The 12,642-nt window shown below is 46.8% G+C and overlaps 1 long non-coding RNA gene across 7 annotated transcripts in view, besides 1 other annotated feature; it reads right to left on the bottom strand.

The window, feature by feature from the left end:
- The window catches only part of LOC105375065 (uncharacterized), a 34,842-nt gene extending 23,080 nt beyond the window's left edge, over window positions 1-11,762 (bottom strand). For all 7 annotated transcript variants that reach the window (XR_007059585.1, XR_001744123.2, XR_007059584.1 and 4 more), the window contains exons 1-2: window positions 11,201-11,762; window positions 5,209-5,398 (exon numbers count right to left, since the gene is read on the bottom strand). This is a non-coding gene — a long non-coding RNA (uncharacterized LOC105375065). The remainder of the gene's footprint in view (window positions 1-5,208; window positions 5,399-11,200) is intronic.
- Window positions 11,150-11,444: a silencer, noted in NCBI's record as "tiled region #12040; K562 Repressive DNase matched - State 4:PromP". NCBI's record gives its function as "represses a minimal TATA promoter and a strong SV40 promoter by Sharpr-MPRA in K562 cells {active_cell/tissue: K562}" and the evidence as "EXISTENCE:reporter gene assay evidence [ECO:0000049][PMID:27701403]".
- Window positions 11,763-12,642: the final 880 nt, after the last annotated feature.

Here is a 12,642-nt window from a genome sequence, read left to right as displayed (position 1 = left end):
AATCAGAGACATGTCTTATTCGTCTCTATCCTCATCAATTTTGCAGTACTTGGCACTCAGTAGGCATCAAAATATTGAAAAAAATTGATGAAGGAAAAAATAAATATTAAATACTGTGATACCAAAAAGCATCTTTTTGGGGTTTTTTAAAAGTATGCCTTGAGTTTCTCATGATTTTAAACATATATTTGATATGACTTTTTTTTTCTTTTTTGAGACAGAGTTGCCCTCTGTTGCCCAGGCTGGAGTGCAGTGGCGCTATCTCGGCTCACTGCAACCTCCGCCTCCCAGGTTCAAGTGATTCTTCTGCCTCAGCCTCCCCAAGCAGCTGGAATTACAGGTGCCTGCCACTAGGCCCAGCTCATTTTTTGTATTTTTAGTAGAGACAGGGTTTCACCATGTTGTCCAGGCTGGTCTCGAACTCCTGACCTCAAATGATCTGCCCGCTTTGGCCTCCCAAAATGCTGGTATTACAGGTGTGAGCCACCGCACCCCGCCCGATATGACATTTTAATTTCTTTCATGATTCGTGGTATTGTTGGAGAGACATCATTTATAGATATAAGAGGGACTATAAATAAACATATGAAAATGAAAAAGTATGAGATAGTAAATGATAATGCACTAACTTGCATGGATTCTTTAATAATGCAATACAAGTTTAGAAAATATAGAGATTGGTGTGATTTTAGGTGGTATAGGGAAAGAGAACTGAGGACAGCTTTCTGAAATGCTGTATTTGCTAGTTCTCAGTTGCAAGCAACGGAAATAGATTCTGAATAATTTAAGCTACAGAGCAGTTCACAGAAACACTGGGAAACCTGGAGAACCAGGCTCAGAGCCTAAACAGATATAACCACAGCCAAAACTACTCCAAAAGATAGTGTTTGGTGAAGAGTCTGCTGTCCACTATATGCCACATCTCACATCACTGACACCATCAGGCCAGGGACCTGAGCTTGGCACTGCTGCTAGAGCTGCATGAAAATTGGAAGTTGCTGTCACCAGGAACACCCTTCCCTTAACTCTGCTTATTTTCGTTAGTAACTCCAGAGTCAAGGCTAGGATAGCTGCATCTGACTGGCCCAGCCTAGGACAGTGCCAGCTCTGGCCGCAAAGGAGGCTGGGAAAGCACGGATCTGGTGTTTTCAGCATCTCTAGTGATAAGTAGGATCTGCTTCATATAAGATTCTTGGGGTCTTTTTTGTTTGTTTGTGTTTTTGAGACAGAGTCTCGATCTGTCACCCAGGCTGGAGTGCAGTGGTGTGATCTTGGCTCATTGCAATCTCTGCCTCCTGGGTTCAAGTGACTTTCGTGTCTCAGCCTCAGCCTCCTAAACACTTGGGATTACAGGCGCGTGTTACCCCGCCCGGCTAATTTTTTGTATTTTTAGTAGAGATGGGGTTTCACCATGTTGGCCCATCTGGTCTTGAACTCCTGGCCTTAAGTGATCCCCCCACCTAGGTATCCCAAAGTGCTGGGATTACAGGCGTGAGCCACCGTGCCTGGCCTATATACAATTCTTTTTGTCTTTTTCTTTTCTTTTTTTTTTTTTTTTTTTGAGACGGAGTTTCACTCTTGTTGCCCAGGCTGGAGTGCAATGGCATGATCTCGGCTCACTGCAACCTCTGCCTCCTGGGTTCAAGCGATTCTCCTGCCTCAGCCTCCCGGAAGTAGCTGGGATTACAGGCACCCGCCACCATGAGCAGCTAATGTTTTGTATATTTAGTAGAGACAGGGTTTCGCCATGTTGGCCAGGCTTGTCTCAAACTCCTGACCTCAGGTGATCCACATGCCTCGGTCTCCCAAAGTGCTGGGGTTACAGGCGTGAGCCACCACGCCTGGCCTATAAGATTCTTAAAGTGGGAAATTCTCATGGGCTGAGCAGCCTCCACCCCTATCTCCCAAAAAAGAAATGTCTACTGCAGTTGGCCAAATCTAGAGGGCAGGAAAAGGAAGAGGGATGGTTAGACAAGAGATCAAGGAGTGGCCCAGGGCAGTGGAAAGAGCCTTGAGGAAGCCTGGGAGGAGTTTTTGAGGAGGGAAAGGTAAGGTGCTAAGTGCTTTGGAGGGTTCTAGGGAGAGTGGAAGTATTTGGATAGAAAGTGGTGTTCTGTGACCTCACCAAGAGCAATTTTACTCAAGTGTGGAGGTAGAAGCCAATCATAGGAAATTATAGAGAAAACTAAAGTAAAAACATAGAGGAATCTCTCAAAAATATTGGGGACATTTGCCCCTATTAATCATCACGAAGACACAATCCAATGTCATCAATTCATCACTCATTCCATGACATGATTTGGCTGTGTTTCCACCTGTGTAGGGAAGGGAAGTAGAAAGTTGCCAGAATATGCCAGGTGCAGTGGTGCATGCCTATAATCTCAGCACTTTAGGAGGCTGAGGTGAGAGGACTGCTTGAGTCCAGGAGGTTGAGGCTGCAGTGAGCCATGATCAGACCACTGCACTCTGGCCTGGGCAATAGAAAGAAAGAAGAAAGGAAGAAGTGTGAGAAACGAACTCACCCATCCAAACCCAAAGAATGGACTCAGAGACCCAGAGAACAGTGAAAGTGAGACTTTTGATGACAGTCTTGCAAGATTGGGTGTCTGATAGGCAGGTACACCCAGCACAGTTTCAACAAGCAATTTATCCCCTCATGCACAGGTCCCTCTCCCAGTTCCTCATAGGCTGAGTACTATGTGGTCACAGTCTTCCCAGATGTTGCCTATTGATTGTTGGGTAGGGGCTTTAGGTGTTTTTTTGGCGGGGGGCGGGGGTTGTCTTGTGCATTTTATTGCAGCCCACAATGTGTTGCAATCCTAGTTAGCTCAAGGGCTCTTTAAGTATTTGACTTATGACCTAAGTAGCTGGACAGACTGATAAAAACAGACAAAGTAAGCTATTTTGCAGACTAGTAAATTTTTATCTTAAACTTCTTTGGTTCAGGTGAAGACAACTAAGGCAGGTGGGGAGGCTGACAAGCAGGCATTGGCTATCCAAGCAGGGGCCTAGTATATCCTGTTTCTTCTGTAGTTTGCTCACCTAAGCCAATTCAAGGCATTTTGTCTTGGAAATGGACCAGTGTATGCATTATTTCCTTCAATTCCCTCCTCTTTTTCTTTTTACTCCTATTGGTCCCATTTTCACATTTATGTTTGTGTCCTTTGGTTCTTAAATTTATTAGGTACTCCTCTAGGGACTCCTATTGAGTTAATACAAGTGCTGGGGTTAAAATAATTTGTTAGATCTCTCCAACTTCAGTGGCCACGTGGATTCTCGGGAATCTTATGGAATGCCAGGGTGAAGGGAATGGCCACTTGAACTAAAGCACAAGTTCCAGTCCAATTGGACAATAACAAGTTAGAGAGGTTTCTCTTCCCATAGTACCACCAGACATCAGCCTGGGGTATACGAAATGCTGAGTAGTTGCCTTTATTTGACTCACCAGTAATGTTTAGGATGTGGGTACAAGCTGAGAGTTTTCCCACAGGCTTACTGAACTCTGCCCCCTGCCTAGAGAGGCAAGAGGAGTGGTTCATATTCCCTTTGGAGAACAAGGGGATTGCTCTAGGGTCTGATCTCTGTAAGGCGGGAAAGAGCAATGATAGACTTTTGTAAGTCTTATTTCCCCATGCATTCGTGTCCTGGTATAGAGCCAACATGCAACACATTCCGTCGGGATTGGTATCCCATCCTAGGGAAATGGAACCACCTGTGCCTGAGGCTGCCCAGCACAGCATGCGTAACAGTTGGTCTTATTAAGAGCTAGTACTGGCCAGGTGCGGTGGTTCACGCCTGTAATCTTAGCACTTTGGGAGGCTGAGGCAGGTGGATTGCCTGATTCAGCAGTTTGAGACCAGCATGGGCAACATGGTGAAACCCCATCTCTACTAAAATACAGAAAAAAAAAAAATTAACCGGGCGTGGCATTGTGCGAGTAGCTGAGTAGTCCCAGCTACTCAGGAGGCTGAGGCAGGAGAATTGCTTGAACCCAGGAGGTGGAGGTTGCAGTGAGCTGAGATCGTGCCACTGCACTCCAGCCTGGCAACAGAGCGAGACTCCATCTCAAAAAAAAAAAAAAAAAAAGGAGCTAGTACCAAAAATTTGACCCATTCAACAGGCATTTACATCCCCATATTCAGTCTCAATTTCTAAAGTCTGCCTCAAGTCAGTTACCTTAATTATTTTTATTCTCTTAGAGTTATTGTCTGGTGGATTAAAGGAGGTAGTGGGAGGCCGGGTGTGGTGGCTTGCGCCTGTAATCGCAGCCCTTTGGAGGCCGAGGCGGGCGGATCACGAGGTCAGGAGATAAACCATCCTGGCTAACACTGTGAAACCCCGTCTCTACTAAAAATACAAAAAAAAAAATTAGCCAGCTGTGGTGGCGGGCACCTGTAGTCCCAGCTACTTGGGAGGCTGAGGCAGGAGAATGGCTTGAACCCGGGAGGCAGAGCTTGCAGTGAGCCGAGATCGCGCCACTGCACTACAGCCTGGGGGACACAGTGAGATTCCGTCTCAAAAAAAAAAAAAAAAAAGGAGGTAGCGGGACCAGGAGTTATAGTAATCCTGGGTGGGCTCGGGGTGGAGTTGGTGACTAGCCTAAGAGCAAACCGTTCCACCAGATTGCTTCCTGAGATATCTGTTCCTAATACCTACCTCCAAGGTTCCCGGTCAAGAGTAGCTGGGTTGTTTATCGTAATTAATATAGGATTGCATTCTAAATTTCTACAGTTAGGTGGCGTAGGGCCCTTAAACAAATGTATTTTATTCTATAAGGGTTTGTTTTTGGAAGAATGACTCACCCAACTTTGATATTGAGTGGTCCACCAGACCTGATTCCAGCTAGCACAGGGCTTTTCTGAGAGGGCCCAATAACAGTCTGTTTTAGGACATAGATCTTTGTCTGCTTGTGACAACTGTCTGTGGTTCCCTAAATTCCCACAAGGTAAGACTTGGCAGGTATTAAATTTTATAGTTTGGGGCAGGGTGGAGGTCTTGGTTATGTTGACTATTAGTTTGGATATTCCCTACTTTCCACCCCTAGTACTGGGCCCTATTCAATACTTAGGTCTTCTTTCACCCCTTGTATTAGGATTAATCCTAACCATATCCACCCCCAAGGACGGAGCCTGCTTATAGCTTCCTTTTAGGTTTTCCTTAGAGTTAGCTTTAAGGGTTCCTTAGGTGATCTATACACTTCCCATTCACCTTTTTCCCTTCCTTCTGGGGTTTCTTTTACCAGTCTCTTGACCCGAGTGTGAGTGTCCACCCCGTTCAGCTGTTCCTACGGCTGTCTCAGTGATCACGAGCACTTGATAGGAACCTTCCCAGCTTGGGTGGAGATTGTCTTCCTTCCAAGTCTTAATTAGCACCAAGTCGCCAGGCTGGAAGTGGTGACCTGTGAATTCAAGAGGCAGGGTTTGAGTTAGAAGTCTTTTTAACCTAAGGGATGACAGGGTGGAGGATATGGCCGGTATGTAATTTCTTTTTTTTTTTTTTTAAGACAGAGTCTCGCTCTGTTGCCCAGGCTGGAGTGCAGTGGAGCGATCTCGGCTCACTGCAAGCTCTGCCTCCTGGGTTCATGCCATTCTCCTGCCTCAGCCTCCCGAGTAGCTGGGCCTACAGGCACCTGCCACCATGCCTGGCTAATTTTTTTTTTTTTTTTGTATTTTTAGTAGAGATGGGGTTTCACCGTGTTAGCCAGGATGGTCTTGATCTCCTGACCTCATGATCTGCCCGCCTCAACCTCCCAAAGTGCTGGGATTACAGGCTATAATTTCTTAAAAATTGGTCTTTGGTTTCCATAGTAGGAAGGTCAGTAGTTCTGCCTAAATACAGGAATGCTTTGTAATGGCCTTAACCCAGGAGGTCTTCCTCCAGTACTCTGTTTTCTAACTACCTTTTTGTTTATTTTTTGGCAGGTTACACAACCCCCACACACTTGTTTAGCAAGGGTATAAATCCCTATACACCCATAATTTTTGAGTATTGCATCACACATGGCCTGGGGACCCCAGTGACTTCCCTTATGCAGTATGGACATTAGTTGTCTCATAAGGGGTTTGTTTATCATTTCTCTCCCATTACAGAGCACCCACCTTCCATCCTCAGTATGAGTGGCTCCTATCTTGCCCAGTTCTTCCTCCTCCTCTTTAGAAAATTGGGGTCTTAATACCACCTTAGGGATATCTGGGATTGGGCTAAACAGTCTAACTTCTTCCTCCAGGAGACTTGATTAGCAGCTTCACCGGCAAGCCTGTTCCCTACAGCTTCTATAGTGTTTCCTTTCTGATGGCCACTTACATCAACTACGGCTACCTCTGCGGGAAGCAGGAGGCTTTTTAAAACTTGTTTGACCAGTTCCCCATGTACCAGTTCGTTCCCCCCGTGCTATTTATTAGGCCGTGCTTTGTCCAGATTTTTTTCAGAAGTGTGTATTACTCCACAGGCATATTTGGAATTAGTATATAGTGCCTTCTTGGCCTTCTAGGAGCTTTAGGGCCTGGTTAAGAGCATATAATTCACAGGTTTGGGTTGACCAGTTATTGGGTAATCTACCTTTTTCACATAGGATTGTTTGTTTCCATTAATGACAGCATAGCCGTCGTGTCTTTTACCATCTATCACTCGGGATGACCCATCCACAAACAGCCTTATTCCATCATGTAGTGGAGTTTCTTTAAGGTCTGATCTAACTTTAGTTTGATATTCTATGATAGCTAAACAGTTACAGTCTGATGGCTTCTTATTATCCTCTCCTTTCCATGAAAAACTGGCTGGAGTTAGGTTAGGCACCTCCCCAAGGCCCGTTGACCCCAGAGGAACTTGGGGAGGCAAAGGCCTGACCAGCTGGCCTCCCAGGGTGCCTTTGGCCAGGCCCTGCTGGGTCTGGCTCTGGGCCAAGAGCTGCCAGCCTGTGGTGCCTTCCCTGATGGGCACACTCATTAGCAAAGGCATCCCTGGCTCTGGCCTCCCTTCCTCTTTCTTTGCTTCGAAGGCACCATCCATCTTCCTGGCAGGCCGAGAGCTGCACTGTTTTTATTTGATGCCACCCCTGCTGATGACCCAGCAACTGCAAAGGGTCTCTGGTTTGTCCCGCTCTGGGAGGGGGCTTTTTCTCCTCCTCAGCTGCAAGAATCCTCCCCTGGCCCAGCCTGGCTCTGGGAAACAGAACTTTCTTTCTTTCTTTTCTTTTTTTTTTTTTTTGAGACGGAGTCTAGCTTTGTTGCCAGGCTGGAGTGCAGTGGCGCGATCTTGACTCACTGCAACCTCCGCCTCCCGGGTTCAAGTGATTCTCCTGCCTCAGCCTCCCGAGTAGCTGGGATTACAGGCACGTGCCGCCCCATCCAGCTAATTTTTGTATTTTTAGTAAAGACGTGGTTTCACCATGTTGGCCAGGCTGGTCTCCTGACCTCAAGTGATCCGCCCACCTCGGCCTCCCAAAGTGCTGGGATTACAGGCATGAGCCACCACACCCAGCCGGAAACAGAACTTTCATACATCCCACCTCAAAGCATCTTGTCCGACTTCTCCCCAGCACGAGCTCTCTCTACTTCAGGGACTGCAAACTGGCATCCTCTCTCGCCTGTATTGGGTTTTTAAGTTTTTTGAACTGATCCCCAGCATTTAAAAATCATATTTCATGTAAAAAGTCAGAATTCTGGCCTCTGAGAAAGCAGACAATTTGGCAACACAGGGCCAGCACTGTAAGAACAGCCGAGCACTGCGGCCCCTTTAACACGGTGTGCCCTCTTCAGTTAGCCACAGTCCCCACCCAGCCCTGCAGCCCTCCTTCTCATCTTTTGCTGGCCCTGTAGTCCTTTGAGTTTACAACCCTAGTTCTGATCTTCCTTATGTAGCCTGCCAGCCCTTCTGCAGACTTACTGGCAGCTGCCCCTGGTGGACTTACAGCCTCTCAGTAAAACAACAACAAAACCTTAATGGTCATCTCATCCATTTACCCTTCCATAACCTGAATCCTCTCTACCACCTCCTGACAAACAGCCATCTGGTTTTTTTTTTTTTTTTTTAGATGGAGTCTTGTTCTGTCACCAGGCTGGAGTGGAGTGCAGTGGCGACTTCTTGGCTCACTGCAACCTCCGCCTCCCGGGTTCAAGCAATTCTCCTGCCTCAGCCTCCCAAGTAGCTGAGACTACAGGCATGTGCCACCACGCCCAGCTAATTTTTGTATTTTTAGTAAAGACGAGGTTTCACCACGTTGGCCAAGATGGTCTCAGTCTCTTGATCTCGTGATCTGCCAGCCTCGGCCTCCCAAAGTGCTGGGATTGCAGGCATGAGCCACCGTGCCTGGCCTGCCATCTGGTCTTTGTTGTAGGCAACCCATTACTCCTCAAGCAACCTGATCCTAAGCTCTCCTTCACATCCGTTTCTCACTTGCATCGCCCAGTTCCTGAGCTCTGTCCTTCCTTAGTGGCCGCACTGTAACCTTTCCCTGCACCTCCTTGCTGCTTGAGCCTCTAGAACCTTCCCCCAGCCCAGCCAACTTCTCGGCATCCTCTCACTTCTTCTTGTACTCTTTCTTCCTTTTACATTATTTTTCTCCCAAGTCTCACCTTCTGTGTCTCTCTTTGATCTCTGGCTTTTCCAGTCTTTCTCTCTCTCTCTTACTCATTTTTCTTTTTCTTTTTTTTTTTTTTTTTGAGATGGAGTCTCGCTCTGTCGCCCAAGCTGGAGTGCAGTGGCGTGATCTCAGCTCACTGCAAACTCCGCCTCCCAGGTTCATGCCGTTCTCCTGCCTCAGCTTCCCAAGTAGCTGGGACAACAGGTGCCCGCCACCGTACCTGGCTAATTTTTTTGTATTTTTAGTAGAGACGGGGTTTCACCGTGTTAGCCAGGATGGTCTCGATCTCCTGACCTCGTGATCCGCCCGTCTCGGCCTCCCAAAATGCTGGGATTACAGGCGTGAGCCACCGCGCCCAGCCCCTTACTCATTTTTCTTCTTCTGTCTCTCTCTCTGTCATCCCGTTTCCTTTCTCCCTCATACTCAGTTTCTTCCTCTTTCTCTCTCTGGGCACGAGCTGAGCCGTGCTGTACCCTGGCTCCCCACTTTCTGTCTGCAAAGATGAACAGCTCTGGCTCTCTTCTTTTTCTCTGGGCACCAGTGCACCTGCACAGTGTCTTACACTGTCTACCCTGTCTCAGCTGCTTAGTCCAATGGCTCCCACACACACAGATGCATGGCCAGCTCTCCCTTGCCTTCAGGGTCAGCAGCTTAACTTTCTCTCTCTCTCTCTCTCTCTCTGGCCCTCCATATTTGCCGTTTCCTCCCCTTTCTCTTTCTGATTTTCTTTCTTACTTGTTCTCTTTCTCTGTAGCAGGACGAGCCGCAGACAAAACTCCTCAGACACCGAGTTAAAAAGGAAGGAGTTTATTCGGCCGGGAGCATCGTCAAGACTCCTGTCTCCAGAGCCGAGCTCCCCGAGTGAGCAATTCCTGTCCCTTTTAAGGACTCACAACTCTAAGGGGGTCCGTGTGAGAGGGTTGTGATCAATTGAGTAAGCAGGGGGTACGTGACTGGGGGCTGCATGCGCTGGTAATCAGAACGAAACAGAACAGGACAGGGATTTTTACAATGCTCTTCCATACAATGTCTGGAATCTATAGATAACATAACCAGTTAGGTCAGGGGTCGATTTTTAACTACCAGGCCCAGGGCGCAGCGCTGGGCTATCTGTCTGTGGATTTCATTTTTGCCTTTTAGTTTTTACTTCTTCTTTCTTCGGAGGCAGAAATTGGGCATAAGACAATATGAGGGGTGGTCTCCCTTATCTCCCTTTCTTCTTACAAAAACCTTCTGAGCTTCCCTCAGTCATTCCTTAATCGGTTTTTCATTCCATCCATCAATCTTTTGCAGTTTCTTAGGAATATCAGGCCAGCTTTTAGTCACAAAATTAACCTTTAAAAGGCCTTGCCCTACTGGATCCTCTGGATCTAATCTTGAATATTTTCTCATATGATCCCTGAGCCTCTGCAGAAACGCAGAGGGAGTCTCCTCTTTTTCTTGTTGGATCTTGAATGCTTTCAAGACATTTTGTGTTCTATGAGTGGGCTTTTTAATCCCTCTAATTATTCATTCCCTTAGGTCCTGCATTTGGGCCCAATCTCTGGGGTTATTGCTATCCTCTCTAGGATTTGCTTTTGGGAATTTCTGCTCAGCTAGCAGGACTCCTTGCCCGGGAGGATGCTGTCTCTCCCAAATGGTCACGGCTGCCCTTCTAATCATTCCCCTCTCTTCCCCAGTAAACAAAATATATTCATGATTGACATCATCTCAGCCGAAGTATAAAAATTGGGTCCTAAAAATTGATCTAGCTGCTCTGCTAAACTGAGGGGATCTTCCAAGAGTGGCCTCATTTCCTTTTTAAAATTCGTAACCTCAGTACTTGTTAGAAGCACACTCACAAATCCAACTTCTCCCTGTCCCACAAGGAATTCTTTAAGACGGTACGTATTAGACATCTACTGTTTAGAAGAAATGGGGAAATTCTCAATGTCCTTCTTACATTGTTCTAATTCTTTCCTTAAGTTTGGATAAGGATTGAAGGGAGCACTGGGTTTAGCTCCTTCATGGCCCCCAGATTCCTCTTCCTCCAGCCTTCCTGTTGCCCCTGATCTCCCTGTCCTCTACTTTGTGAGATGTATGGGGGTGAGGGCAAGCGTGTTAGGGGACCCCAGGGCTTTTCATTGGGTGAGGGCTCTTTACTATGCTCTTTTTTTTCTCTTTAAGGTGGAACATGGGGTTATTCACTAATCCAACAAAGAGCATAACCCATCTCCTCTTGTGAGGATGGGGTTTCATCATTTACATATAGAATTAAAGCTTGGCACACCCAATCCGCATCTGAGCCAAACTTAGGCCAAAAGACCCAAGGCTGATGAATGGGCTCTTTGGGCCAGATAAAACAGCAATACTTTATCATCTTTGCTTTTCCTTGTCCCTGGTTTGAGGATTAGCCTTTCAAACCTGCAACATTCTCCCCAAAGGACTATCTAGGAGAATGTCAGAGGGGGTGTTTCTAGTTCCCTCTTTCCTTTGTTCCCGAGGCCTAGAATTCCTGTTTCCCATTTTCAGTTAGTCTCTGTGTCTGAGCTTTTCCCTGTGTACTCAGCCCCCCTTACTGGAGGTTTCTTGCACACCCCGAGACCTCTGAAAATGCCCCACCACCAAGACAGTACTTACAGTCCCATTTTCCCACCGTGGTTCGTGCACGAGGTTGTCTGGTTGCCGCGGTGCCTGCTTTTCTTCCTGTGTCACTTTTGTTATCTCCTGAATCATGGTCTCCGGTTTGTCTGTGGCTTCTGTGGGGAGCCGGGACATCCAGACAGAGCGGGCCACATAAATCAAGTGGGGCACGTCTCCCCTCTCCATGCAGGCACAGAGATCCCCGTATGGCCACCAGATTGTGAAAAACAAACTCACCCTTCCAAACCCAAAGAATGGATTCAGAGACTCGGAGAACAGCAAAAGTGAGACTTTTAATGGTGGTCTTGCAAGATTGGGTGTCTGATAGGCAGGCACGCCCAGTATAGTTTTGTTTGTTTGTTTGTTTGCTTTTGGAGACAGAGTCTTGCTCTGTCACCCAGGCTTGAGTGCAGTGGCACGATCTCAGCTCACTGCAACTTCCGCCTCCTGGGTTCAAGTGATTCTCCTGCCTCAGCCTCCCACCAGTACAGTTTTAACAAGCAATTTATCCCCTAGTGCGCAGCTCCCTCCCCCGGTTCCTCAGAGGCTGAGTACTATGGGGTCACTATCTTCCCGGACTTTGCTTATGCTTGTTGAGTAGGGGCTTTAGGTGATTTTTTTTTTTTTAGGGTTGTCTTGCTGCATTTTATTGCAGCCCACAATGCATTGCAATCCTAGTTAGCTCAAGGGCTCTTTAAGTGTTTGACTTAATGACCTAAGTAGCTGGACAGGCTGATAAGAACAGATAAAGTGAGCTAGTAAACTTTTATCTTAGAATAAAACTTCTTTGGTTTAGGTGAAGGGGTGGGGGACGGAGGCCGACAAGCAGGCGTTGCTATCCAAGCAGGGGCCTAGTATATCCTAGTTCTTCTGTAGTTTGCTGACCTAAGCTGATTCAAGGCACTTTGTCTTGGAAATGGACCACCGTATACATTATTTCCTTCAAGAGGAAAGCAGGAAGGAAGGAAAGGAGGGAGGGAGGGAGGAAGGAAGGAAGGAGTGGTTAGTTGCTGGGACAAATTTAAGAGGCGGTAAAGTTTGCTATTCTCTTAAACACGTTTAAGTCTAATTCTTCAAAATTACAAAAGAAAAATGCACTTATCACAATGAGGATGTAGCTGCCATTTTAAGTTTTAACAGCTGTATAAGATTCCTAGAACAATGTCCAACAATTTATTTTTATACTGATATGTGAAGGGTTGTTTCCTCCCTAACACCAAATACATGGTCATTTTCAACACCAATTTTCCAACCCTCTGGTTCTCTCACACGGTTGGGCACCCAACGATTCAATTCAATTCTGACACTAACTCCTGGAGTTAGTGCAGAATCCACAGGTTAAGAGCTCAGTCCCGCAATACTGCCCCCACTTCAGATGCCAGTCACAAATACTGGATCCACAGGATACCCACAGTTCGGATCGACTTGGCTACAAAAGT

This window comes from Homo sapiens, chromosome 6 (genome assembly GCF_000001405.40).
Source record: "Homo sapiens chromosome 6, GRCh38.p14 Primary Assembly".
NCBI lineage: Eukaryota > Metazoa > Chordata > Mammalia > Primates > Hominidae > Homo > Homo sapiens.
Note: the sequence above shows the minus strand (reverse complement) of the source record. Positions and strands in the feature narration are given on the sequence as shown.